Source organism: Homo sapiens, chromosome 13 (genome assembly GCF_000001405.40).
Source record: "Homo sapiens chromosome 13, GRCh38.p14 Primary Assembly".
NCBI classification, from domain to species: domain Eukaryota; kingdom Metazoa; phylum Chordata; class Mammalia; order Primates; family Hominidae; genus Homo; species Homo sapiens.
Window position 1 is genome coordinate 101,179,100 of NC_000013.11, and position 25,737 is coordinate 101,204,836.

The 25,737-nt window shown below is 37.9% G+C and overlaps 1 protein-coding gene across 10 annotated transcripts in view; it reads right to left on the reverse strand.

Annotated features, from left to right (window-relative positions):
* The window catches only part of NALCN (sodium leak channel, non-selective), a 363,404-nt gene that overhangs the window by 125,324 nt on the left and 212,343 nt on the right, over window positions 1-25,737 (reverse strand). For all 10 annotated transcript variants that reach the window (XM_011521069.3, XM_011521067.3, XM_024449336.2 and 7 more), the window contains one exon: window positions 12,818-12,955. In XM_011521069.3, the coding sequence (XP_011519371.1) occupies window positions 12,818-12,955 (138 nt within the window). The remainder of the gene's footprint in view (window positions 1-12,817; window positions 12,956-25,737) is intronic.

The window sequence follows — 25,737 nt, forward strand, 5'->3', positions numbered from 1 at the left end:
TGATACATAAATACAATATTGCACTCACTGCAGTGATGTTTATCACTGAATTAAGCAGACATAGAAGAGAGCACTGTGCTTGGAGTCAGAGAGCTCAGGTAGCAAACAGGCTGTGCCAGCTATGAGCCACGTGGCAACTGCCAGCCCACAGTGAGTTTCGGTGCTCTCGTTTGTAAAATATTACAAATGTAATAATAGCTCAACAAATTGCAGCTTTTTTTTCATTTAATTCTCCCCGAGCAACCCTGACATGTAGTATAGCTATACAATGTCTGAAAATATACAGACATAAAATTAGTTATGCAAAGCTAAAATAAATTTCTTGGTTTTTCTACAAATGAATTGAATTTGGTGCACAATCCCTCCATTTCTGTTGGGGGCTGGAAACATTATCTTGCTACATCAGTTCCATTCAGTCCTTTCAAGCTCAGTTACATTTGAATAAATGCTCCTTTTCTTTTTAGGGTAGTTTAAGGTCAAGGTTACCCACTACAAGCTGGGTAATATGTCCTCCATCCCCCATCAGGGGAACTGATGAGGCTGTACAGGGGGTTTGGGGCTTTCTTTCTGCTGACTTGACCACCATCTCAGCTCCCAAAGCTAAGAGCTCTGATTCCCAGTGATGTCCTCCATATGCGCTTCCTAGAGTACTGTAACACCGTGCACGGAGTTGGTAGCTTCAAACAACAGACATTTATTTGATCACAATTCTGGAGGCCAGAGTCCAAAATTGAGTTGTCGGCAAGACCACACTCTCTCCAAAGGCCACGGGGGAGAATACTCCCTTGTCTCTTCCAGCTGCTGGTGGCCTCCTCTGTCCCTCGGCTTGTGGCTTTGTTAACACCAGTCACTTGGCCTTTATCTAACACCAGTCACAAGGCTTTCTCTCTGTGTCTTGTGCTCTTTTGTGTCTTACAAGGACGCTTGTCATTGGACTTAGGGCCCACCCAGATAATCCAGGATGATCTCATCACAAGATCCTTAATTTAATTACATCTGCAAAGACTCTTTTTCCAATAAGGTCGTGTTCATAGGTTCTGTGGGTTAAGCCATGGTCCTATCTTTTGTAGGGGCCCATTTAATCCACTATACTCTCCACCTGGTCTTTTTTTTTTTTTTTTTTTTGAGACAGGGCCTCACATTGTCACCCAGGCTGGAGTGCAGTGGTGTGATCTCAACTCATGCAGCCTCCACCTCATGGGCTCAAGCGATCCTCCCACCTCAGCCTCCCAAGTAGCTGGGACTACAGGCACCTACCACCATGCCTGGCTACTTTTTTTTTTTTTTTTATTTTTTGTAGAGACAAGGTTGACCAGGCTGGTCTTGAACTCCTGAGCTCATGAGATCCGTGGATCTTGGCCTCCCAAAGTGCTAGGATTACAGGTGTGAGTCACCACGCCTGGCCTCCGCGTGGCCTTTGGCTTGGGCTGTTGTTCCCACAACACATGTATTAGCTCTCAACTCAGGGAAACTCAGAAAGGGCTGTCATTCCACTTGGAACTAACGGAGACTTGTTCTTGTGGGATATTCCGGGCCTCTCCACCGAGAACTCTCAGGCAGCTGCCCAACTCTGCCCTGGCTGCCCCTGGCCCATGTGGGGCCCCCAGCAAGGTTCTCTCCCCATCAGGTTCCAAGAAGAATTAGGGTCAAGTCTTGGATGTCAAAACACACCTGTGTGGGTACCAACACTGCCGATGCTCCCAAGTGAGGTGTGTGGGCATCTCCCACGGAAACACGCTTTGTCTCTCTCTCTCTCTGCATCTGTCTCTCTCATGCTCCATCCCAGAAATCAGTCTTATTTCTTCTCAGAAAGCAGAAACGTGAAAGAAAATTGGAGAGCGGATGGGAAGGGCGGCCACGCAAGTGTGAAGAAGGAGGACCAGAAATGAAGCCCCATCATAAATTCACACATTTAGTTCTGTACCATTTTGAAGCATTTAGACTTGGAGAGCCCATCTGGGCACATGGGCCAGGGGGGCACTTTCCGAACACTACTTATCGAAGATTGTGAGACAATGACAGAGAGCCAAGGATGCTCTCCCAAGCCACGCAGATGCCAAGGAGAAGACTGATTTTGGAAAAGAGCTGTGAGGAACGCATTCCAGGTGGTGTGGTGAGGGCCTGGTGAGTAAGTCTGGCCAGAGTCTGGCTTCCAGGCAGAGGGTTTGGAGGCTGGAGAGGAAGGCAGGATGGACAGGCGTCTTGAGTGCCACAGAGGTCACGGATAAGAGAGGGAGGCTGGAATAATCACAAAGTGATGACATCAGTTTCTTTCTGCTAAATTTTTCCTTTTAAAAGTTCTGGGGCTTTTTGTGTGTGTGTTTTTGTTTTTAATGCATGTAATGCAGCAAGTTTAAACTGGCTCAGCTGGGCATGGTGACTCATGCGTGTAATCCTAGCAGTTTGGGAAGCTGAGGCAGGATTGCTTGACCCCAGGAATTTGAGACCAGCCTGGGCAACCCTGTCTCTCAAAAAAAAAAAAAACAAAAATTAGTCAGGCATGGTGGCGCATGCCTGTGGCCCCAGCTACTTGGGAGGAGGCTGAGGTGGGAGGATTTCTTGAGCCTGGGAGGTCGAGGCTGCAGTGAGCTGTGAATGTGCCACTGCACTCTAGGCCTGGATGGCAGAGCAAGTCCCTGTCTCCAAAAACTAAAAACAAACAAAACAAAAAAATAAACTGGCTCACTGAAATAGTAACTAGACAAGGTTAAGTGCAGTTTGACAAAATGTTATTAGATATATAATGTTTTCTAGCCGGGTGCAGTGGCTCACGCCTGTAATCCCAGCACTTTGGGAGGCCAAGGCCGGCAGATCACGAGGTCAGGAGATCGAGACCATCCTGGCTAACATGGTGAAACCCCGTTTCTACTAAAAGTACAAAAAAATTAGCCGGGCGTGGTGGCGGGTGCCTGTAGTCCCAGTTACTCCGGAGGCTGAGGCAGGAGAATGGCGTGAACCCGGGAGGCGGAGCTTGCAGTGAGCCGAGATCGTGCCACTGCACTCCAGCCTGGGCAACAGAGCGAGACTCCATCTCAAAAAAAAAAAAAAAAAAAAAAAAGATATGTAATGTTTTCTTACATTGGTTAAACAAGAAACTGGTATATACTTTTTCCTTGGGATAAACAGAGAAAAGCCACCCTCAGAGCAGGACAGAGAGAGCCACGGCATGCCAGCTGCACTGACTCCTCAAGGCAGATGCATTTGATATTTGCTGTGGATAGGAGAAGGCAAGACTCCTAAAGGAAGAGCTTTGGCTTCTCTGGGAAAACGCTGCGTGACTTCACAACAGGAAGGCCCAAACTTAAAGAATTAGAACAAACTCTTGGGGAGGCAACAAATTTAAAAATAATATAATAAAGTTTGAAGTTTGCTTGAAAGTAGCATAAACCTAATTTTATTCAGCAAATATCTTTGTTTAGGCATCATTTTTCAATTAATTTGACAGTGGCATGACAAAAGCACAAACTTACAAAACAGAAACTGGTTCAAGATGTATGTGTGTGGTAGGGGGCTTGGGTTTCCGCTGAAGCCCTATTTGAATGTGGACTTTCAGATTGATCCTCATCAAACTGTCCCTGGCATGTAGGGCACTGTGATAAGGTGGCAACTGGCACTCCGGGTGAGAGATGACTGAAGTCTGACCCAAGGCTTTGGCTGTGTCTTTGCAATGGAAACAGAAGATTCAGGAGGTGCAGGGTGAGTCTGTAGCTGATTGCCAGGAGGTGAGAATGACTTTGCGGTTCTTTTCTCACAGACTCTAATAAGGTGACAATAAGCACTGCGATAAAGGGTAGAAGTGAAGGAAGAATGGCAGCTTGGTGTCCATCATATTTAATTTATGTTATCAATGATACAGTATTTTCCTACAAACCCAGTGCAATGTGGATTTGGACTGAAAGAGCAGGTCGACCTGGGTGTCAGACACTTGCCAACACATGGTATGGAAAGTCATGGGAGTGGGTGACAAGCCCTCATTCTGAAAGGAAGAACCATTTTTCAGTTCTCTGAGTGTTCTCATTTATTCTGTTTTTACAGAAAGCTGAGGTAATGCTCATTAGTAATCAGAACCCATTACAGCGATGTCTGCATATTACCTTCAGCTAATGTTTACCTACACTACCACATGTTGCTGTGCCAAAAGGTTTTTCTATAGCCACTAAATGTGATTTACAGGTTCATATTAAAACGGTATTGATGTAATAAAGGAATTTTACAGGGACTTGCCACATTAAATCACAGGAGTGTCATCATATGTATAAAACACTTTTACCTTTGTGTTTTGACTGTTCTAAATTATGCAACTAATTTGCTTTGCATTATTTATTTCTTAATATTTAGATTTATGTGATATTTCTATTGAGTGATTGATTGATTGATTGAGGCAGAGTCTCTCTCTGTCCCCCAGGCTGGAGTGCAGTGGTGCGATCTCAGCTCACTGCAACCTCTACCTCCCGGGTTCAAGTGGTTCTCCTGCTTCAGCCTCCGAAGTAGCTGGGATTTTAGGTGCCTGCCACCACACCAGGCTAATTTTTGTGTGTTTAGTAGACACAGGGTTTTACCATGTTGATCAGGCTGGTCTGGAATTCCCGACCTCAGGTGATCCACCCGCCTCGGCCTCCCAAAGTGCTGGGATTATAGGGGGAGCCACCACGCCTGGCCCGATATTTCAATTTATACTGCAGCAGGATATACTATGTCCCTATTTTTTTTTAATGATATAATTTCAGGGGAAAAAGGCTAATGACACCACCTTTCATCTCCTCTTGAACCCTGCTAAGTACATGTATGCTTTCAACACAGTGGTGTTTAGTTTGTACAATGCTGTAAAAAAGAAAGCCAAATATCTATTTTTTCATGCATTTACTATTTGGCACTTTTAACAGGTCTATAGCGTTTGATCATATTAATATGCAACACAGCATTTGTCCTACTGTGTAATATACAGCTGATGTATGTATCCACTTTTTAATTTTATGACCGATATTGATACATTATGAATCAGTGATGTCAATGAAAAAGTGGAGAATAACAATGTATTTCAGATATCTAATTCTTTATTTCCCTCAGATTATAATGCCCATTGCTAAGGTATGTTTAGCATTGACAATGCATTCAGTGTGGAAAATGCCACATTATCAGGCCTGCTGAAGTCTGGGAAGTCTCTCTCAGAATATTTATGAATGATATAATAGGATTTTGACCTTTCAGCTTAGTGGATTTCAAAAGCGTAATTTTCCAGGTTCAAACTGGTACCTGGACCAGGGTCTCACAGGCGTTTGATTTCTCTAATATTCTTTATGACGCTCCTCTTTCTCTAATACCTCCTCTTCCTTTTTCTCCTCTGAAACAGCCCAGATTCACCTCAGTTAATGCTGTGGTAGTTATTTGCTCTGTTTAAGTTTTATACATGTGACCACAGATATATTTATTTTTTTTCTATTTAACTACAATAAATTTCAGTCAAATTCAATAAATTACTGAAATAGTTGCATTTGCAAGTATAATTATTTCTTCCAATTTTGTTGTGATGCAGATCATTTTGTCCAACATAATGTAGTTCTCATTCCCTCGGAATAAGACTTTTGGATTAGCATGATTCAAACAGCTGAAAAGTATGATTTATTTTTGCAAGAGGGCAGCCTTGTCATTCACAATGGATTTTCTGGTTGAAAATTTCTCTCCCTGCAGCAACATATCCTATTTTACATTCTCTCTGACTCTGCAGATAGCCATGACCTTACCCTATATAGCTTTCCCTTTTCAGTTTTCTTTCTTTTTATAAAGTTTAATTTTATGATTTTTTTCCTTTTATATAGCTTAAAGATGTCCCTTTAGCTGAAATTTCACCTTTAATCTTATTTTCTTCTTTGCTGTGAACTTTATTAATAATTTCTTATCTTTAAATTATTTTGAAATATACACTAGAAACACAGCAGGAATCAATGTCCCACACTCTTGTGTTTTTCTTTTCCTGTTTACCATTTATAATCACCCTATCCTAAGCTGTCTTGCCGCCTGTGGTATGAAACAATTTCACTTTTTATATGGGTCAACAAAAAGTCAAATGTAATCAGCGCAGTGTAAAATGGGATACGTTCAACACAGATGCACTTTTAAATGAATTCTATACAATCAAGTTATTTAATTTACACTTTGGAATGCCCATTTGTGTCAGCAAAATATGACTATTCTCAGCAAGCTGCCACTACCGAGGCAAAATCAAGAGATTGCTGTGTTAATTTCAGCACTTCAAAGGTAACAAAAAGACTACCCACAATGAACGCTTAATTACATTTTCTTTCTTTTCAGTATTCACATCACAGGGCTTTCCTTTGAAACAGTAATAGACAGAAAAACATTGCAGGAAAAATGGAGTCTTTCAACTTGTTAGGTCTTCCATAGTCCCTATCCCCAAATCATTGGCAAAGATGGGGAAAAAGATGAATTTAACAAGCATTCAATAAACTGCAATCAGTCAGGACAGAAATACAGAATACATACCTGGCGGAAGAGAGAGATGTTTGAAAGGGACAATACATGGAGGTTATGAATATGCATTTGCTATATACTTCAGCTTGATTTTCATTGTGGGCTGAAAATTGGTGCCCCCAGGGGTGATGAAATAGCCTGCTGTTCTTTATTCCAGAACAAGCTGCAACCACACATTTTATTTTTCGCTGCTTGGCACATGCCTGTCCCTGGGAAGACTAAATCAGGAACTCATCAAGTTGTATGGCACCACTGTTCGGTGTGAACAAAAGACACATCAGAGCTTGTATGTTTACACAGACTACTTTTTTTTTCCCTTCTCACCCATTTGGGTTAAAATGCGTTGTAGCATTTTGTAAAAGGAAACATACAATTAAACAAAAATGCTCATTTTAAGGTAAGTTCAGCTCTGAAGACAGGCTTATGGAATATTTTAACTTGTGAAGTTTAGTTTTTAGGGGCATGCAATGTGTGTGTAACACAGACCTGTCACCCTCACGCATGTGTTTATATGTTAGCCCACAGACTATCTCCAGCTGTTTCACTGCCACTACTTTTGATATTTCTCATAAGGCAGATTGGGAACAACTGGGAAGCAGATGTTTATTGATCACATAGCAAGTAGCAATGTACACATGCCTCTCTTACCATTTGCATCTTTAGGCCTTGGAACCACTGGTTTTATTTGTTTGTTGGTTAGCCTGTCTGTGTTCGTTATTGCTAATTTCCAATTATTTGTAGCCCCTAAGAGGACATGAATTAAGCTCTTTCCCACTTTGGCCAGGACGTAGGTTAGTACCTGCACGTGGTAGTAGAGGTTCAGTAAAACTGTATCAAATCAAATTGAACTCACTTCATAAAGCCCATTACAGTAACTGTTAGTCTAAGGGTACAAAGGAAAAGAGAAACAACTGCTGACCATGTTTTAAGCAAAATTTTTTGTGAACTGGGGAAGTGACTTCAGTATTAGACTTTTTTTGGGTAGTATAGAAGTGATAATCTTTGTTTTAATTTAGTTATATAGTGTTTCCTTTTATTAAATTATATATCATTTAAAAAATAATTTAGAAATTTAAAAGTTTGAACAGTTTACCTTTTTTGTGTTAGACTTCATAATCAGATAAATCAAATAAATATTCTAAACCTTGCAGTTTCTCATATAAATCTGAGAAAAATTGATTTGAGTTTTATTTAAACAGTATATTTCATCTAGCTTATGCTATATCTAACTAGTAAGTAGAGATGAGCTAAAGACTTAAAGGTGAAAAGCAAAAATTGTAAACAATTAGAAGAAGATATAGGAGAATATTTGTATTACCTCAGGTGGGAAAGAATTCCTTAAGCATGAGGTCAAAATAAATACAGACCATCAGTGAAAAACCGATAGTTTTGACCTAATTTGATCATTCCACAATGTATGCATGTATCAAAACATCACGTTGTACCCCATAAATACAGTAGGCCCCCCCCTTATCCACTGTCTCACTTTCTGTAGTTTCAGTTCCCTGTGGTCAGCCACAGCCTGAAAATATTAAGACATTTTGAAAAGGAGAGATGGAGACAGAGAGAGAATGCGTATTCACATAACTTTTATTACAGTATATTGTCATAACTGTTCTATTTTGTTATTATTGTTGTTGATTTCTTACTATGCCTCATTTACAAATTAAACTTTATCAAAGTTATGTATGTATAATAAAACACATAGTATATATAGGGTTCTGTACTATCCATGGTTTCAGGTATCTACTGGGAATCTTGGAAAGTTTCCCTTGGGGACAAAGGAGGACTACTATATATACAATTATTATTTGTTAACTAAAAATGAAATAAAAATATATAGAATGTCAAAAGACATCACAGACAAACTGGAAGACAAAATACTGCCTAAGAGAGGATATTCGCAACACATGTAATAGTCAAGAGATTAATATCCAACAAATATCCAATAAATGAGTTAAGACAAATTTGTTTTTAGGAAAATAGGTAAAGCAAACAATTGAGTCACAAAAAAGATGGTCAATAAACATAGTAAGAGGTGCTCCCTTATTAATAATTATGGAAATGCAAAAATGCAAGCCCAATTGATACCAGTGTTCACTCATAAGATTGCCAAAACCTCACATGTCAAACAATGTGACGTCTAAGTGAGAGTGTAAGAACACAGGAATTCTCAACTATTGCACTTGGGAGGGTAAATTAGCACAATTTATCTATAGAGCAGGAGTCCACAGTGTTTTCTTAAAGGTCCAGACAGTAAACATTTTAGACGTTGAGGGTCATGAGGCAATACTGAGGATATTCTGTGGGTACCTGTATAACCACTAAATTATAGAAACCATTTTTAGCTCACAGGTTGTATAATACAGGTGGTGGGCTGGATTTGGTATCTGGGCTTGCAGGTCCCTAGTATAGAGCAATTTGGGCAGTACCTAAGATCTAAGCATTCTACTTTTGGACATATATCCTAGAGAAATTCACATAAGTGGGCACGATACATAAATGTATTGCAGCATTATAAAAGTACAACTTTGGAAAACAGCCTAAATAGCCATCAGAAAGGGAACTGATAAACAAATATGGCATATTCACAGTCCGCGGAGTACCATACGGCTCTCTATAACAATGACCAAATTAGCTTCATGTGGAGTAAGATAAAAAGATCTCAGAAAAAAATAGCCAGTGAAAAATTTAACTGCAGAATATATGTTGAGTTTGATACCATTTGTTCTAAAAATTGCTGCCACAAATAATTGATAAGGAGGGAAACACATGACCATGTATAACTTGGCCCCAGCATGGACTTATAGGGAGAGAAGTATGTATTACCAGACCACTCCCCTAGGGATGGCCATCAGTTGACTGGAGCAGTGCTTTGCAAACTAAGAAAACTTAATATTAATCTTCAGAATTTTGGGCATAAAATGTATTTAGATGGTAACCTTAAGTTTAAAATACTATATGTATACATATATATACACACACATATATATACATATATACACACACATATATATACATATATACACACATATATACATATATACACATATATACACACACACACGTGTGTGTGTGTGTCTGTGTGTGTGTATATATATATATATTTTTTTGAGATGGAGTTTCACTGTTGTTGCCCAGGCTGGGGTACAACAGCATGATCTCGGCTCACTGCAACCCCCACCTCCCAGATTCAAGTGATTCTCCCCTGCCTCAGTATCCTGAGTAGCTGGGCTTACAGGTGCTCACCACCATGCCTGGCTAATATTTTGTATTTTTAGTAGAGATAGGGTTTCACCATGTTGGCCAGGCTGATCTTTAACTCCTGACCTCAGGTGATCCACCTGCCTCAGCCTCCCAAAGTGCTGGGATTACAGGCGTGAGCCACCGTGCTGGCCATAAATACTATATTTTTAATGGATGCATATATGTGTGGGAAACCTCTGCATTTCATTGATTTTAAGATGCACATTTACTTTCACCTTTTAAAAACTCTGAAGTAGGGATGCCCCTTATCCTCTATGTGTATAGTTTAATTGTTTTTCTCTTTAGTGTTACACAAACTGAGTCTTCTACTGAATGACAGAATGTTAAATTTAGTGAAATATGTTCTAAAAATTGGAAAATGAATTTATATTAAAATTATCAGAGTCATTGCCTGGGAGAAGAGGTATAGGGAAGGAGAGAAAGAAGAAGAATGGAAATTAATTCAGGAAGGGGCATAAATGATACCCTAATAAATGATACTTGCATAAATTAAAAATATCTGAACATAATATAAATTTAACATTTATTAATATATGGCTTTAAATGCACAAACCGTCTTATCTACATTTAAAGGGGCTCAGTGCTGGTGCTCTAAAACATCCTCAGAAATACAGGGTTAACTCGCAGATACATGACAACCTTGGAAACTGGGTGTATTGTGAATTATTATCCTCACTTTCCGATACAAACAACAGAGAGATCAGGGAAGTTATGTGAGTCTTCAGAAATCAGATATCGAGTGACCAGCAGAGCTAGAACCTGAATCTGGATTTTTGCCTTCCAATTTCATAGTCTTGTACGACACCACATTTACCAAACTGTTCTCGTTAACATGTAGACTTCTGAATTCTCAATTGCCTTACAGACTTTTAAAAAGTGTGAATAAAAGAACAAGTTATTTCAATTTTCAGTTTTAACTTATAACTGTTGTTTGAAAATTGCAATAAAAAAGTTAGAACAGATGTTTTGGGTAGATACTTAAATCAGTAAGTGGAAAGAGTAGAATTAGAGATTGGTTTTCATCTTGTGCTCTGTGGATTCCTAAAGCCTCAGGTGAACCCCAGGAGTCCTTGGATGAACTTTAAGTGATCTATAACCAATGCCATATTTTAGCCCATAAAGAAGATTTAGATTGCCCAAGAAGGCTATATACCAGTTTTAATATTTTATTTTATTATATTAGTGACCCCAGTAGAATTTTCACTTGAAAAAATATTACTTTACTAAATAATGTAATAGGCTAGTTTTTTCTTCCAGCTTTCATTTTTTGTGTCCCTGATTTAAGAATCAAACATATATCTGAGTGTGAAACATTTTCAGTGAGGAAAGTAAACCATTTTGTTGCTTTATTAGGAAAACGATTAGGTTGATTACTATAAAATAATTAGATTGATATTCCCTGACATAGATGATTTCAATGAAATCTATCCTGCATTTAACCCACAATCAACAGTCTGAGCAATTCCATAGTTTTAGAGTAACTTAAACACAAGTAGCTTAATAAACTTAGTTGAACGCATAAATGATGTGTAAATGAATGGATGAATGAATAAATGGCACAGGCTTAAAGGTCCTGGAAGGGAAGATGCAAAGACCCCAGGGCTAAGTGTTGTGCAAACACCAGCACAGCCAGATTCAGCTTTGCAAGCCAGGCTTCCATTCCTATTGCACAATGTTCCTATCTTTCGCGTAACTTTTAAAAGTCAACTCCATGTATAAAAAGGCCAAAACTATGTCTATGTAGTTCTACTGTTTGAGCCCATGACTTCACACCATGTAACAATGAATTCTCATTAACTTTTTGGTGGACATGTCTTAGTTTTGAAAGCCTCTGTCTGTCTATAGCAAACACAACTTCTAAGTTATATCTAGTTTATCAAGGACTTATTTCATTCATAGATATTTAGAATTAAAACTGACCTTAGAGATTATATGTAATTTGTTTGATGTGAGTGATTCTTTGGCAGAAGTTTGATTTGACAAAGACATTTTTTCAGACAACTTTAAACTTCATTATCCAGGGAAGCAATAATAATTAGCTGCAAGACTAAGGACCAAATCTAGATCAGACAGACCTGGGAACACTCTGGTCATATTTACATTCCATGTGACATCAGATAAATTACTAAACTCTTCTGAGTATCAGTTTTATCATCTGTTAACTGGGAATACTATCTAATCGGGTGTTCCAAAGATTAGCAATAATATTGTAAGATATTTTGTAACTGTAAGACATATTGCCAAAAACAATAGTAGCAGTTGTATTTATTTCTTGTATTCCTGATAAAGGGAAACATTTGAGTCCTCAACTTGGAACTTCTAACGTGATGTTAGAACTTAGGTTTGCTTCTTAAATATGAACAAATTTATTACATAGAGATGAGCATTTGGTATTACATTCCTTAGTAAGTCACAGGCTGCATTTCATAACATTTTTTCTTTGTTTTTAATGGAAGTATATTGAAGAGAAAAATCTGCTTGTGTGACAGAAGTCGGTTCTTACTGGACTTTGGTATTCAGTTTTCTTGTGCTTTTACAATACTTGCAGCAATGTGTTTTATTTTTTTCCATGTGTTTTTTTCCAGTCGCACATAGCACAAAACCACTGTGCTGATTTCTAATTAACTGACTGCACCCTGAGGTCTATAGCTTCTGTCTTCAGTTTAATTACAGCTGTGAAGAGGATGCAGTGAAACTGAAGACAGTGTCTCTACATGAGAAAAAAAATAATAATGGAGTTCCGGTTTGATCCTGAGATCATCTAGGTGTGAATGCTTGGGGATACTTAAATTGGTATGTAAATGTGAGATTTTCATTTTGTTCTGTCTTGTTTTCCCTCTTACAAACACTGGTACCTGATGGAGAAAATATCTAACTTAACAAATCAAGCAGTTCTTTGATGTGTAGAAACTTAGAATGGAAGGAGGGATCTCATCCAACCAGATTAGTCTGCATTAGTCCTTTGGCTCCCATTTTGAAATTGACAATAGGCCAAATATCTGTTGATGTTCATCCCATTATAAATTCCAAGATATAATTGAAAAAAAAATGCTGAACTCACCAGAGTGGCAAAAAGATGATAGAGAATGAAATAGATGGCAACCACGGGTGCCCACATATGTCCCACAGCATTTAGAGTTTGGTCCATTACGTCCACCCATCCTTCCTGGGTGAGGATCTGGAACATGGACATAAATGCCTAAGAGGAAAAGAACAAAGGTATTACACACTAGCTTTAGGCTTGCATACAACTTCAAATTAGCATGTGATGTTTGAAGACTTTGATCTCAATATTATTGATTTTTATCTGATCAGGGCAAGAACAGTCTTGATTCAACACATAGGAAAGATATAAGAATAAAGATCTTAAAAATGTGATATTTAACTATTTGATGTGGAATAAGAAAATAATTACCCTGAATTAAAATTAGTTTTGTTCGCAGTAAATGCTGTTGAGCAAATTAGAAACAAATTCAAGATCTTTGGTTTTTGCCGTTAATTTTTTTCCTTTCAGCAAGCTATCTAACATTTTCAACAGATTACTTTTTCTTTGTTCCTGCTGCTAAGAGAAACTTATTTTTATAGTGAATTACACTTGTCTAAGGCATATAAAGGCATATAATTTTATTTTTATGGTACCTTTCTATCATATTATTTTAGCTATCATATTAAAAACATGGGACTCTTTAAAAAAGAAATATTTCTAAGTGATATTGCCACACTGGACAGCTTGAAGACAAACACATTTTTCATGATTTAAAAAAAGTTTCAAGGCACAGGGTCAAGATCATGGAAGAAGCCAAGACCAAAAAAACAAACAAACAAACAAAAAAGAAATAAAAAATAGAGCATTCCAACAAAGGCCAGCCAAGCTAAAAATCTCACACACTTTCTGCCAATATCTTTGGCTAGTTTCATTCTTACATATTTTTCTAATTAAATATATGTGTATCTGTGAGTCTCCAACTCATGTATCCTATACACATTAGTAGTCAATAAATACTTTTTAATGAGACTATGATGATATCTGGAGCAAGTTGCCCCACTGGAGTCTAGTGACTCTTTAAAAACATCTTTATAGACTTCAGTACGATAAAGACATAAATTGAATTCTCAGATATTGGGATTCCAATAAATAAAGTCCAGGATAATGCAAGGATGGACTGAGACCAAGACAGAAACCCAGTTACACTGGGGGACCTAAAGATAGACCTAATCTGGTAAAGATGATTTCATCTGATTCCTTCTTTTTTTTTTTTTTTTGAAGATAAGGAAAATGAGGCTCAAAGATGTTAAGTGATTATCCCAAAGTCACACTATTAATTTCTGGCACTAATAGAAGTAGCACCCAGGCATTAGGACTCCAAAGTAAGTACTTTTCCAAATATTGCATCCTGCATTCAGTGAAGTCTACCCAGGATCTACCAGGCCTAATTACATAGTAATCTAAGTATAATTTTCACACTTGATCTTAGCCAAAAGGCTGAGAAGCGACCTAACTGTAATTTCCTTCAGTAAGGATAACAAACTTTCTTAGAGGTACACTGTTCAAGGCCCAGAACACAGTGGACCTATTTGAAAAAGGAGCAATTAATTGTTAAATGAACCACGAACTAGAAGATAAGTTCTTCCACTTATCCTTTGTCCATGTGCAAAGTAATTATTTTTACCTTGAGTTGATTTTTCTATAATCTCATTACCTTATGAAGAAGTGTTTTGTTCATGAAAATATGAAGCGTGTTGTTATTGATACTTGACCGCACCATCACCAAGGGCAATATACTATTTTTCTTGTTATGGTGCCCAAGAGACAGCCACTCTCTGCAAAAATTATTCCTTCTAAAATTGCTTTTGAGAATTTTTCAACACATCACTTATCCTTATAAGTATTTCAGAACTCATCATTGAGGGCAATTATTTTTTTCCTGTATTTTTTTTCTCTTGAATATTTATTGTATCCAAAGGTGAGGAACACGAATTCCAAAGATGATTCACATAAAAATATCAGATTGCTGTATTTTCTTCAATGAAGGTATCGGTGTGAAAACATGTACATATCCTGGAGATTCAACAGCAATAGGTGAAGAGTCAAAATGCCTGCCAGTATAAAAGAAATTTCACTGGACATGGCTTTCTTTCCCCAAAAGTAGCAGGACAACTCATGATTAAGCCCAACAGATTTATTTTGGTATCTGGAGACTAAAAATGTAAGTGCACCTTTCAGCTGTCTTGGGCATGAACCAGCTGATGTTTTCTCATCTGTTGCATTACATTTGATCAACACAGTAGCTGCTTGGGAACGTGGAGTTATGGGATTGTAATCTGTTGTTGTGAGATAAGCGATGTGGGCAAGAGCACTGGGGTTATCCTCTTTTCATTTCAGAGTCTCGGGAGAAAAAAAAATCGAATTTCCACACAGCTCAACCACCTGAAAGCTCATATTGTGAGATGCACTAAATTATATTTGCGAACAAGGCTTTCTGTGACAATGGGATCTGTGTGTTTATGGCTGCTGAAATGAATAAACCAATGAAAGGTAGTGCCAACAAATACTTCTATTAGAGGCTGAAAATTAACTTGTGTCTTGCTTGAAGGGTGCCTTATCAGTTTTGTGGAGATTTTTATCCAGAAATTTAAATTCAAATGGTAGTGTGCTTGAGATAGTGACTCAAGTGCACTTACTGACTTACATTGTCCGTAGGGCCTGTGCTCTTTATTTATTCAAACAAGGATTATTAGTGGTTACTAAAGGTTTGATGCATTGGGGATTGAGTGGAGTAAGACATAGTTTCTTCCCTTAAGAATTGTATAATTGAGAGGGGAAGAAAAAGATGAACAGGATCAATTCTCAAAAAGGAAGAATACTGGCTGGGCATGATGGCTCACGCCTGTAATCCCAGCACTTTGGGAGGCCAAGGCGGGCAGATCACTTGAGGTCAGGAGTTCCAGACCAGCCTGGCCAACATGGTGAAACCCCGTCTCTACTAAAAATACAAAAATTAGCCAGTTGTGGTGATGGTCACCTGTAATCCCAGCTACTCGGGAGGCTGAGGAAGAAGAATTGCTTGAACCTGGGAGGCGGAGGTTTCAGTGAGCTGAGATTGTGCCACTGCACTCCAGCCTGGACAACAGAGCGAGATCCTGTCTCAAAAGAAAAAAGAAAATAAAAAGAAAGGGAAGAATAGTAACTTTGGTGTGTAAGCAAAATATGGTTAAAGTACTGAGGGGCAACAGAGAAGAGCCAATTTAGTCCTCTTGGGTGAATCAAGAACAGTTTTGGGAAAATGAAGCAACTGACCTCAGTAATGCACAGGAGTAGAGTTTCAGTGGAAAGAAGGCAGAGAGGAAGTTGTTTCTCTGAACTACCTATTCGCATGTTATTCCATTTTTCTGCCCTGTTGACCATTTTATTTTCTTTATTGGTTTCCACCAACTCTTTACAAATAAGAAAACCCATCTTTTATCTGCCATGTATGTTCAGTGCATTTTCCCCTATACATTTCTTATATTTTTGCAAAGATCAGTTTTAAATTTCAGTGTGGTCTAATTTGTCATTCCTTTTAAGTGTTTTTATTTTGCTTAAAAAGACTTCTCTCACTGCATGATTAGACATAAATTTACCCATGGTTTTATGCAGTAGTTTGACACTTTCCTTGCTTTATTATTTTAAACATGTTGAACCTGAATTGGCTGTTTAAATCAGTTTAAATCTGAAATTTATTTTGGTATAAGTAATGAGACAGGAATTTTTTGTTTTCACTTCTGATGGCGTTATGCCTATCCCTATTTAGGATTTCTTGATTTATCCACTTTAGACATAGACTTCTGCTATGATATGTGAAGATTTCATTCAGGCACAACATCACTCCCCACTTCCCTTAACCACTCCCAAATTTGGATGTAAATCTCGATTTCTTTTTCCATCAAACTAGAAAGACTTGACCCCTTCCAGTGTGAGATGAAGGTATTACCATTGCCACTTGTCAGGTCACCTCTTCTCTCTGCTTTCATTTTCCATCTCGTGTCATGTATACATTTATATCCTCAAGTTTGACAATATTTACATTTTGTTTTTCTATCATAATTGGGTCATCCGTGCTTCTCAGCAGGTTGATAATCAATATGTTGATAGTCAATGTTTCCTATGAAAACATTGCTCACTCTTGGGCCAGGTAATGTTCTAAAATTATACTTCCCCCTCCAAGACTCTATTAGACAGTAAATGGTCAAGGTTAAATGGAACCTTCCTTACTTTCCATTAATTGCTCAGAATCTGGGCCAATTTAACTCACGTTATTTGAGCCATTTTTTTTTAATACAATCTTTGGTTTGGTTTTGTTTTTGCTGAGATTTTCTGACTATTTCTCACATGTCTCATTGGGAAAATAAATATATTCTTTCTTTCTTCTATCTCAAGTAGCTTCCAGATTCTCACACATTACACTTATCATTTAGAATAAACCCTTCTTACTATCCTGCAGATGTTCTTTCTTTAAACCATCAATTGCCCAGAAACCATTTGATTCTTACTCTCATAGATATTATTCTTGGGGTCCTCTCACTACCTGTTTTAATTTGAACTAATTTCTTTCTAGACTGGTTCCACAGTTGCCAAAATTTCCACTTTTAACATTATTATCTAGATCTTTCATTCTTTCTAATACAGGGGCAGAGAATTATTCCAGATATCTCATCCCACTCATTAGCATCCTTTTTCAATTTATCAACGAGGTTTTCTTCTCTGTGTTTTACTGTTTCAGTATGAGGAGAGGGGTACAGGGAGAGAAGTATTAGCTGAGGCTGTGTATGGGCAATTATGCTTGAAATATCAGGCTTCAGATATTTCTTCAATTCAGGTAGGTTCAGGAAATCTTTATTGCAGCCAGAACTAATCAGTCCTAAGTGTTCACTTCCCCAAATTCACTGGCCTCTCTCCAGCCATCATTCCCACTCCACTGACTCCAGGTGAGGGAGAAGTCAATGTCCTCCTGTTGGTTTTGGTTCTCTGTATGGGCGAATAGGACAACTCCTGGGGCTTTCGACACCCCTCTTTATCCTGAGCTTCCTGTACTCTTGAAGCTTCTGTTTTTGTCTCTTCATATTTTCATTATGCTACATTTTTGTAGCAGAATGGGAGATGATTCATTTTCAGAAGGTATGACATTTTGCCTTCACTCTCAAGCCTCCTCAGCTGAAAAAAATAAAAATGGTGAGATCTAGTGGATTATTTTGCCTCTGGAACAAGTGGCTTCTATACATGAGTGGTTCTTATCACTTTCCAGGGCTCTGCATAGCCCTTTGGCCACAGACTTCACAGATTGGGGAATTTGAGTATACGGTTTCGTTGTTTTTCCAAGTTTATTTCTTCTTAACTTCTTCCAGAAGACAGTCTTAAGGGATGAGCCTAGAATATTCATGTTCTCTCTCATTCTCTTCTCCTCCTCCGCGACCCTTTCCTTTTCCTCCTCCTTCATCTTTCTCTTCTTTTCTTTCCTCCTAGCTGCTATTCGGAGAAAATGGCATGAAATTGTAGCTCTTCCTTACTGTAGTTATGCTGGTATAATTTTCTCAGGTCATTTTATTCATTTCCTTAGGTTTTATTAGCAGGGGAGTTGGGTAATTTTGCTATTTTACCCCTCAAGTCCAAACCTATACATGTAAGTATGAGTAAACAACTGTGTTTACAAGTGCTATTTTGTTTGCTGCTAGTAACATTATCACATATTAAACATCACTATACGGGTCAATCACTGTTAATGCTGCAGATGCCTCCCTGCTGATAACTGCACCAGGGATGAGCAGTTTACTTGAGAATGGTCCAGTTTGCTATGAGGTGATCTGGAACAAGCAACTCTACCCTGCCAGGGAAGAAATAAGTAAATCAAAAGCATCTCTAGTGAATTTTAATGGGAAACTATGAAGAAAAATCAGATTGCCAACAGTAGGCTCTGGAAGTGAACAAATGAATGGAGATCAGCCATGCAGTTGAGTGGGACAACAAAAGGGAAATTACAAAGTCAAAGTTGCCAGCACATTGATGTTCCCAGGAATCAGTCTCTGCATGAACAGAATTTAAGTGGAAAAGAAAACATATTGAATAAACAGACTGCAATGATTTTTACCTAATGGAGAAGAAAGATTTTGAAAATAATGAGCTGAGTTCAGTTGTTGTTTCTAATTAGAGTGTATCATCTTCCTTGGATATATGAGAACAGGGTGAGAACCAGAGAGTAGAGGGTGAAAGCACAACAGGAATGTATGAGGAATCTTATGCAAAAATTAATTCAAGATGGAATAAAGACTTAAATGTCAGACATAAAACCATGAAAACCCTAGAAGAAAACCTAGGCAATACCATTCAGGACATAGGCATGGGCAAAGACTTCATGTCTAAAACACCAAAAGGAATGGCAACAAAACCCAAAATTGACAAATGGGATCTAATTAAACTAAAGAGCTTCTGCACAGCAAAAGAAACTACCATCAGAGTGAACAGGCAACTTACAGAATGGGAGAAAATTTTTGCAATCTACTCATCTGACAAAGGGCTAATATCCAGAATCTACAATGAACTCAAACAAATTATAAGAAGAAAACAAACAACCCCATCAAAAAGTGGGCAAAGGATTTGAACAGACACTTTTCAAAAGAAGACATTTATGCAGCCAACAGACACATGAAAAAATGCTCATCATCACTGGCCATCAGAGAAATGCAAATCAAAACCATAATGAGATACTATCTCACACCAGTTAGAATGGCGATCATTAAAAAGTCAGGAAACAACAGGTGCTGGAGAGGATGTGGAGAAATACGAACACTTTTACACTGTTGGTGGGACTGCAAACTAGTTCAACCATTGTGGAAGTCAGTGTGGCAATTCCTCAGGGATCTAGAACTAGAATTACCATTTGACCCAGCCATCCCATTACTGGGTATATACTCACAGGATTATAAATCATTCTGCTATAAAGACACATGCATATGTATGTTTATTGTGGCACTATTCACAATAGCAAAGACTTGGAACCAACCCAAATGTCCAACAATGATAGACTGGATTAAGAAAATGTGGCACATATACACCATAGAATACTATGCAGCCATAAAATTGATGAGTTCATGTCCCTTGTAGGGACATGGATGAAGCTGGAAACTATCATTCTCAGCAAACTATCACAAGGACAAAAGTCAAACACTGCACTTTCTCACTCATAGGTGGGAACTGAATAATGAGAACACATGGACACAGGAAGGGGAACATCACACACTGGGGCCTGTTGTGGGGTGGGGGGAGGTGGGAGGTATAGCATTAGGAGATATAGCTAATGTAAATGACAAGTTAATGGGTACAGCACACCAACATGGCATATATATACATATGTAACAAACCTGCACATTGTGCACATGTACCCTAAAATTTAAAGTATAATAAAAAAAAGAGTTGGAAAAAATAAATAAATAAATCATGCTGCTATAAAGACACATGCACACATATGTTTACTGTGGCACTATTCACAATAGCAAAGACTTGGAACCAACCCAAATGTCCAACAATTATAGACTGGATTAAGAAAATGTGGCACATATACACAATGGAATACTATGCAGCCATAAAAAATGATGAGTTCATGTCCTTTGTAGGGACATGGATGAAGCTGGAAACCATCATTCTCAGCAAACTATCGCAAGGACAAAAAACCAAACACCGCATGTTCTCACTCATAGGTGGGAATTGAACAATGAGAACACTTGGACACAGGAAGGGGAACATCACACACTGGGGCCTGTTGTGGGGTGGGGGGAGGGGGGAGGGATAGCATTAGGAGATATAGCTAATGTAAATGACGAGTTAATGGGTGCAGCACACTAACATGGCACATGTATACATATGTACAAACCTGCACGTTGTGCACATGTACCCTAGAACTTAGAGTATAAATAAATATATATATATAGAAATGTCACAGGGATGCTCCGGGTGAAAACACAGAGAAAAGCAGTGAACAAGCATCTTTCAGTCACCAAAAGAGCCAGAGCACTGCACTACAGAGCCACAAAATCCAATGCCAGCCCTTTGCATGCTCCTTTGCTGGTTTCTCTTCAATTTCCTAATGTCTAAATGTTACAGAGCTCCAGTACTTGACCTCAGATCTTTTCTTATATCTCAATACTCACTACCTGCTTGATCTCATCCATTGTAATGCCTTCACATCCCTTGTATGTTCTGATGACTTCCACAGTTATATTTCCAGCCCCACCTCCAGAATCAACTCCACATTTTTACTTGGACAGATGTTAGATAACAGGAATCTCAAGTATTTGATGTGTCATATGAAACTCCTCATGCCCCACTTTCAAACCTGTTCTTTCTGCACTCCTTCCCAGCCAAGAAAATGGCAAATCTATTCTTCAAGTTATTCAGGCCAATGACCCTGAAGACATCTTTGGTTCATCTCATTTCCTCACATCCTACATCCAATCTTTCAGGAAATCCTGCTAAATCCAACCTTAGTCCTTGCTTCCAGTTCTGCATTTGTCCCTGATCTTCCTTGATATTACTTCCAAAACAGATAACATTTTTCCCCTAAATGCCCTCACGCTTTGGTGCTGTATTTTCCGGTTATAAGTTGAGATTAAGAGCGTCGGATAAAAATAAGACCACCAAAGAGGGAAGAAAGGGGGATAAGCAAAAGTTTCCACAGCTTCTCTTTTGTTCCTAGCACCCCTTAAACATCAACATAGGTGGGCTAGGCCATGTTGCCTACACTAGGCTTCCCACAGGGCCACTGAGGACCCATGCCATAGGGTCATGGCAGAGCCAGATCATCAATAGCAGAAGATCCTTTTCTCTCTCAAGCCCCAAGAACCCATTTCTGACCCTAAATATCTCTAATAGACTTCCTTAGAGTTAGGTGAAGGCAAAGCAAGGGTATTTTCCTATGCTGAAATAAACAGGCTGAAAGATCATGCAAAGGAGTTTTAAGCCCTTAAAAAATATCATGGATGACCTTTGAAATTTGATGACTCAATGCATATTTTGGTATTTTAGTATGTGTGGATATCAATTTAAGTTCAAACATAGTCAAATATTAAGAAAAAGTAGAATGGTTAAACATCTTGGGTTTTGGTCAAAGTAGAGTAAGTAGAATATATAGTACCATCCCTTTGCTATATCCCAAGCACATAGATATGCTTTTGTGTGCATATAAATGCTTGAAAGTGTATACAATAAACCTGTAACTCTAAGGACTAGAATGGAAAGGACTAAGGAACTATGGAAGGGGTCTATACTATTTTTTTTGACTTTTAAAAGAAATAGGTTTTTGAGATACAATTTGCATACCATAAAGTTCACCTTTTAAAGTGTACGATTAAGTGGGTTTTAGTTTATTCACATGGTTGTGCAGCCATTACCACTATCTAATTTAAGAACATTCTCTTTATCCCCAAAAGAAGCTACATACTTGTTAGCTGTCATTCTCCATTCCTCCCTCCCTCAGCCTTTGGAAATCAAAGACATCTACTTTCTGTCTCTATGGCTTTTTGTACTCTGGATATTTTCTATAAATGGAATCACCCAATATGTGGCCAGGGGTCATCCATGTTGTAGTATGCATCGGAACTTCATTCCCTTTTGTTGCCAAATAATATTTTATTAATGGATATACCACATTTTACCTATTTATCAGTTGATATTTGGGTTGTTTCCACCTTTTGGCTATTATGAATAATGCTGTTATGAACATTTATATACAAGTTTTTGTGTAAACATATGTTTTGATAAATTACTTCTGACTTTTTTTTTACTGTTTGTACTAAAATACGTGTAAAATGTACATTTTTTCATTTAAAAATATATACACTAAAAATGTTAAAATGTGGTGGGGAATACAACTCGTATCATCCACATATAACTTTGATTTTACAACATAACTTGTATCAACTTTTTAAATCTTTAACTGGTTTCAAGAACTCTTTCTCTACAAAAAAAGTTGCTTTCAAAATAAAATCTACTTGATGATTTATATAGTAGCTCAACCTTTTTATTGAGAGAGTCCCTGTTATATCTTACTATAAGACAGCCCTAAAATAGAAGACTTGCCTTGATGGTATTCACTGAGTGCAAAAGTGACTTCTCTTCTGTTTTTAATTGCCTTAATGATTCATTTACTCAGTCTCCTTGTTTCGATTTTTCCCAAACAGCAATAATTAGTAGAATAGTTTTATCTTCAGAAAAACCCACTGACCTCATAATCCGTTAATATTTTGTTTTATAATTCCTTTGCTTTTATTTAAAACTTAATTCAGCTATTCAAAGCTACAGCAATATTTAGGATAATATTGATATACAGTAAATGCTGGTCGTACCTAATGTTGGGGTTACATTTCTAAAAAGTATATTGGTTGGCAAAGTCATAACTGACGGGATGAAGATCTTGTGGAGAATTAGGGGTTAAGGAAAACCAATGAAGATGACATGAAATGTATTTAAAATCCTATGGTAAATAAAAGCTCCAGAAGCCACAACTTACTATGGCTAAACTAAATTGTACCTAAATACACATAGTGTGGATTTGGAATTTGGAGTATAAATATAGTACTGTTGGTTAGAGCCATTGACCATAGCTATTTCTTTATTTCAGATCCCTCCAATTCAATCACACTCTTCCCAGTTCTTCAAATTCCATCTCTCTGTCTTTTTTTGTGAAACCCTCAGGAAAAATATCGATTCCTAGGTGAATCTGATACTCCATGGCTGCCCCTAGCCATCCAGCTGCCCTGTGGAGAGAGCTATATCCCAGGGAAATGGGTTCCCTCCTCACACAGCCTCCAAAGGGACTTCGACACTGCCAACAAAGCTCCTGCTCCCATTAGTACATGCCTATCAGCCAGGAGCTTTTCAAAGCTGCTCCCCCTGGTGTAACTTCAGCCACCTCCATCACTGCTCTCACTCTAAAGAGATCACCTTTCTAGAAGGAATGGCTGAGGGACTGCGTTTAAGATAGAGATTGAATCGCTGAGTATGCAGACCAGGATGCTCTGTAAGCCAGCAGATCAGTGAGGTCAAGAACCAAGTACTCAGCCTCTGCTTTCACAGCGTCTGAGTCTAAGTCACCGACTTACTTAACGGCTTTGGGAAAAACATTCAGCCGTCCTGAGACCAGCCTTTCTCAAATATGCAATCCCATTGTCACTCGAAGATTGTTTTGAAAATCAAAATAACATATATGTGAATACTTTAAAAATAATAAAGCATTATATAAAGAATAGTTGAAATAATAATTTTGAAATCTGCCTTAAAAATATTGTCCCAAGGAAAAGCAACTTCTATCACAGTGGTTAAATTCCGGAATTCCTATGTTTTCTTTTTTTTGAGACAGAGTTTCGCTCTTGTCGCCCAGGCTGGAGTGCAATGGCACGATCTTGGCTCACTGCAACCTCCACCTTCCAGGTTCAAACGATTCTCCTGCCTCAGTCTCCTAAGTAGCTGGGATTACAGGTGCCTACCACCACACCTGGCTGACTTTTGTATTTTTTAGTAGAGACGGGGTTTCACCATGTTGGCCAGGCTGGTCTTGAACTCCTGACCTCAGGTGATCCACCCACCTCAGCTTCCCAAAGTGCTGGGATTACAGGTGTGAGCCACTGTGCCCGGCCCAGAATTCCTGTGTATTCTTTATGACTTAAAATGTTTGGTCATATATGGTGTGATTCCATTTTTATAAAGTTCAAAAATTATAAAGGATAAACTATTTTTTAAGGAATTTCTTTTAGATACATAATTTTGAAAATTTGACAGTGTTTTCAAAGACATTATTTCCTTTCATCTTTGAAGTACACGATACATATCTTCCAGCTATAAAGGTCTACTATTCTATAATCTATTAACTGTTAATGACAGTCAATTGGAAAATTTTGTTTTTTTTACAATATACTTTCCAGTCTATTTTTCCAAGCCAGATCTTACCTATAAAAGTTAAACAAAGAAGCTACAGTGACTTCTTACTAATAGATGCTATGAATTGCCTTTTGGTGCTGTCAACTCATCAGGGTCTTCTACTGAATCAACAGTAAAAATTGCAGTTGGCAAATTGACTGAAAATAAGGAGGCAGGTAAATTAAGTGCTTTGCTCTATGTCGTAAGTCATCACATGACTGGATGTTAAAACGCAATGGAACACTAACTGAATTTTGGTGTAGGGTCCTAGTCTGGGGAGTTTAATTATGAGTGACTTTTAAATGATAAAGATTTTGTAGCTATTTTTATACATATCTCTCTATGTATGAACTCTTTTGGAATTAGAGATCTGTTGAAGTCAATTACCTTTATGTTAATAGAACTTAGGCGTTTAAAATATCACTGTATCTGTAAAATAATTCCTTATTCCTTGTGATTTAGGAGGAAATAAAGTTGAAACTGGTGGTTTCAGTTAATTCTGTGACTGCCTTTTATGTTGGCAAGAAAGACCAAGTAGTTCTTTTTTCAAAATGAACCCACATTATTTATTTTGCTTTTACAATTCCCAAAATATGCTTGTTGCCAAGCATACCACTTAAATGAATAAAGAGAGAGGAGAAAAAAACTGTTTATTGTTCAAATTTTAGATGACTAAGGAAAAGTCTTCTGAATCTAGACTTTTGTAATTGGCCTTAAATGTCAAAATGAGCTTGAACATAATTAGAAGCAAAGCAGACATCAGAACATTATGCCTATTCCAGCAGCAAATTACTTTAAGTGGAGTCTACACTTAAATATAATTTCAAGAGTAAAAGAAAAAAAAAGTAACAGAAGCACATTGGCAAAAACCAGCGAATCTTTTTGCTAGTTATGAAAATATATGTAGGTATGTCCAATTGTCTCTTTCCTTGGCTATGCTTGGGTTAACTTTTATGTATTATACCATAAATGACAGCTGGACAAGGTCATGAATTTGTACTAGGATTTCATTGCAGCTAAGATGAAATGATATGAGAACA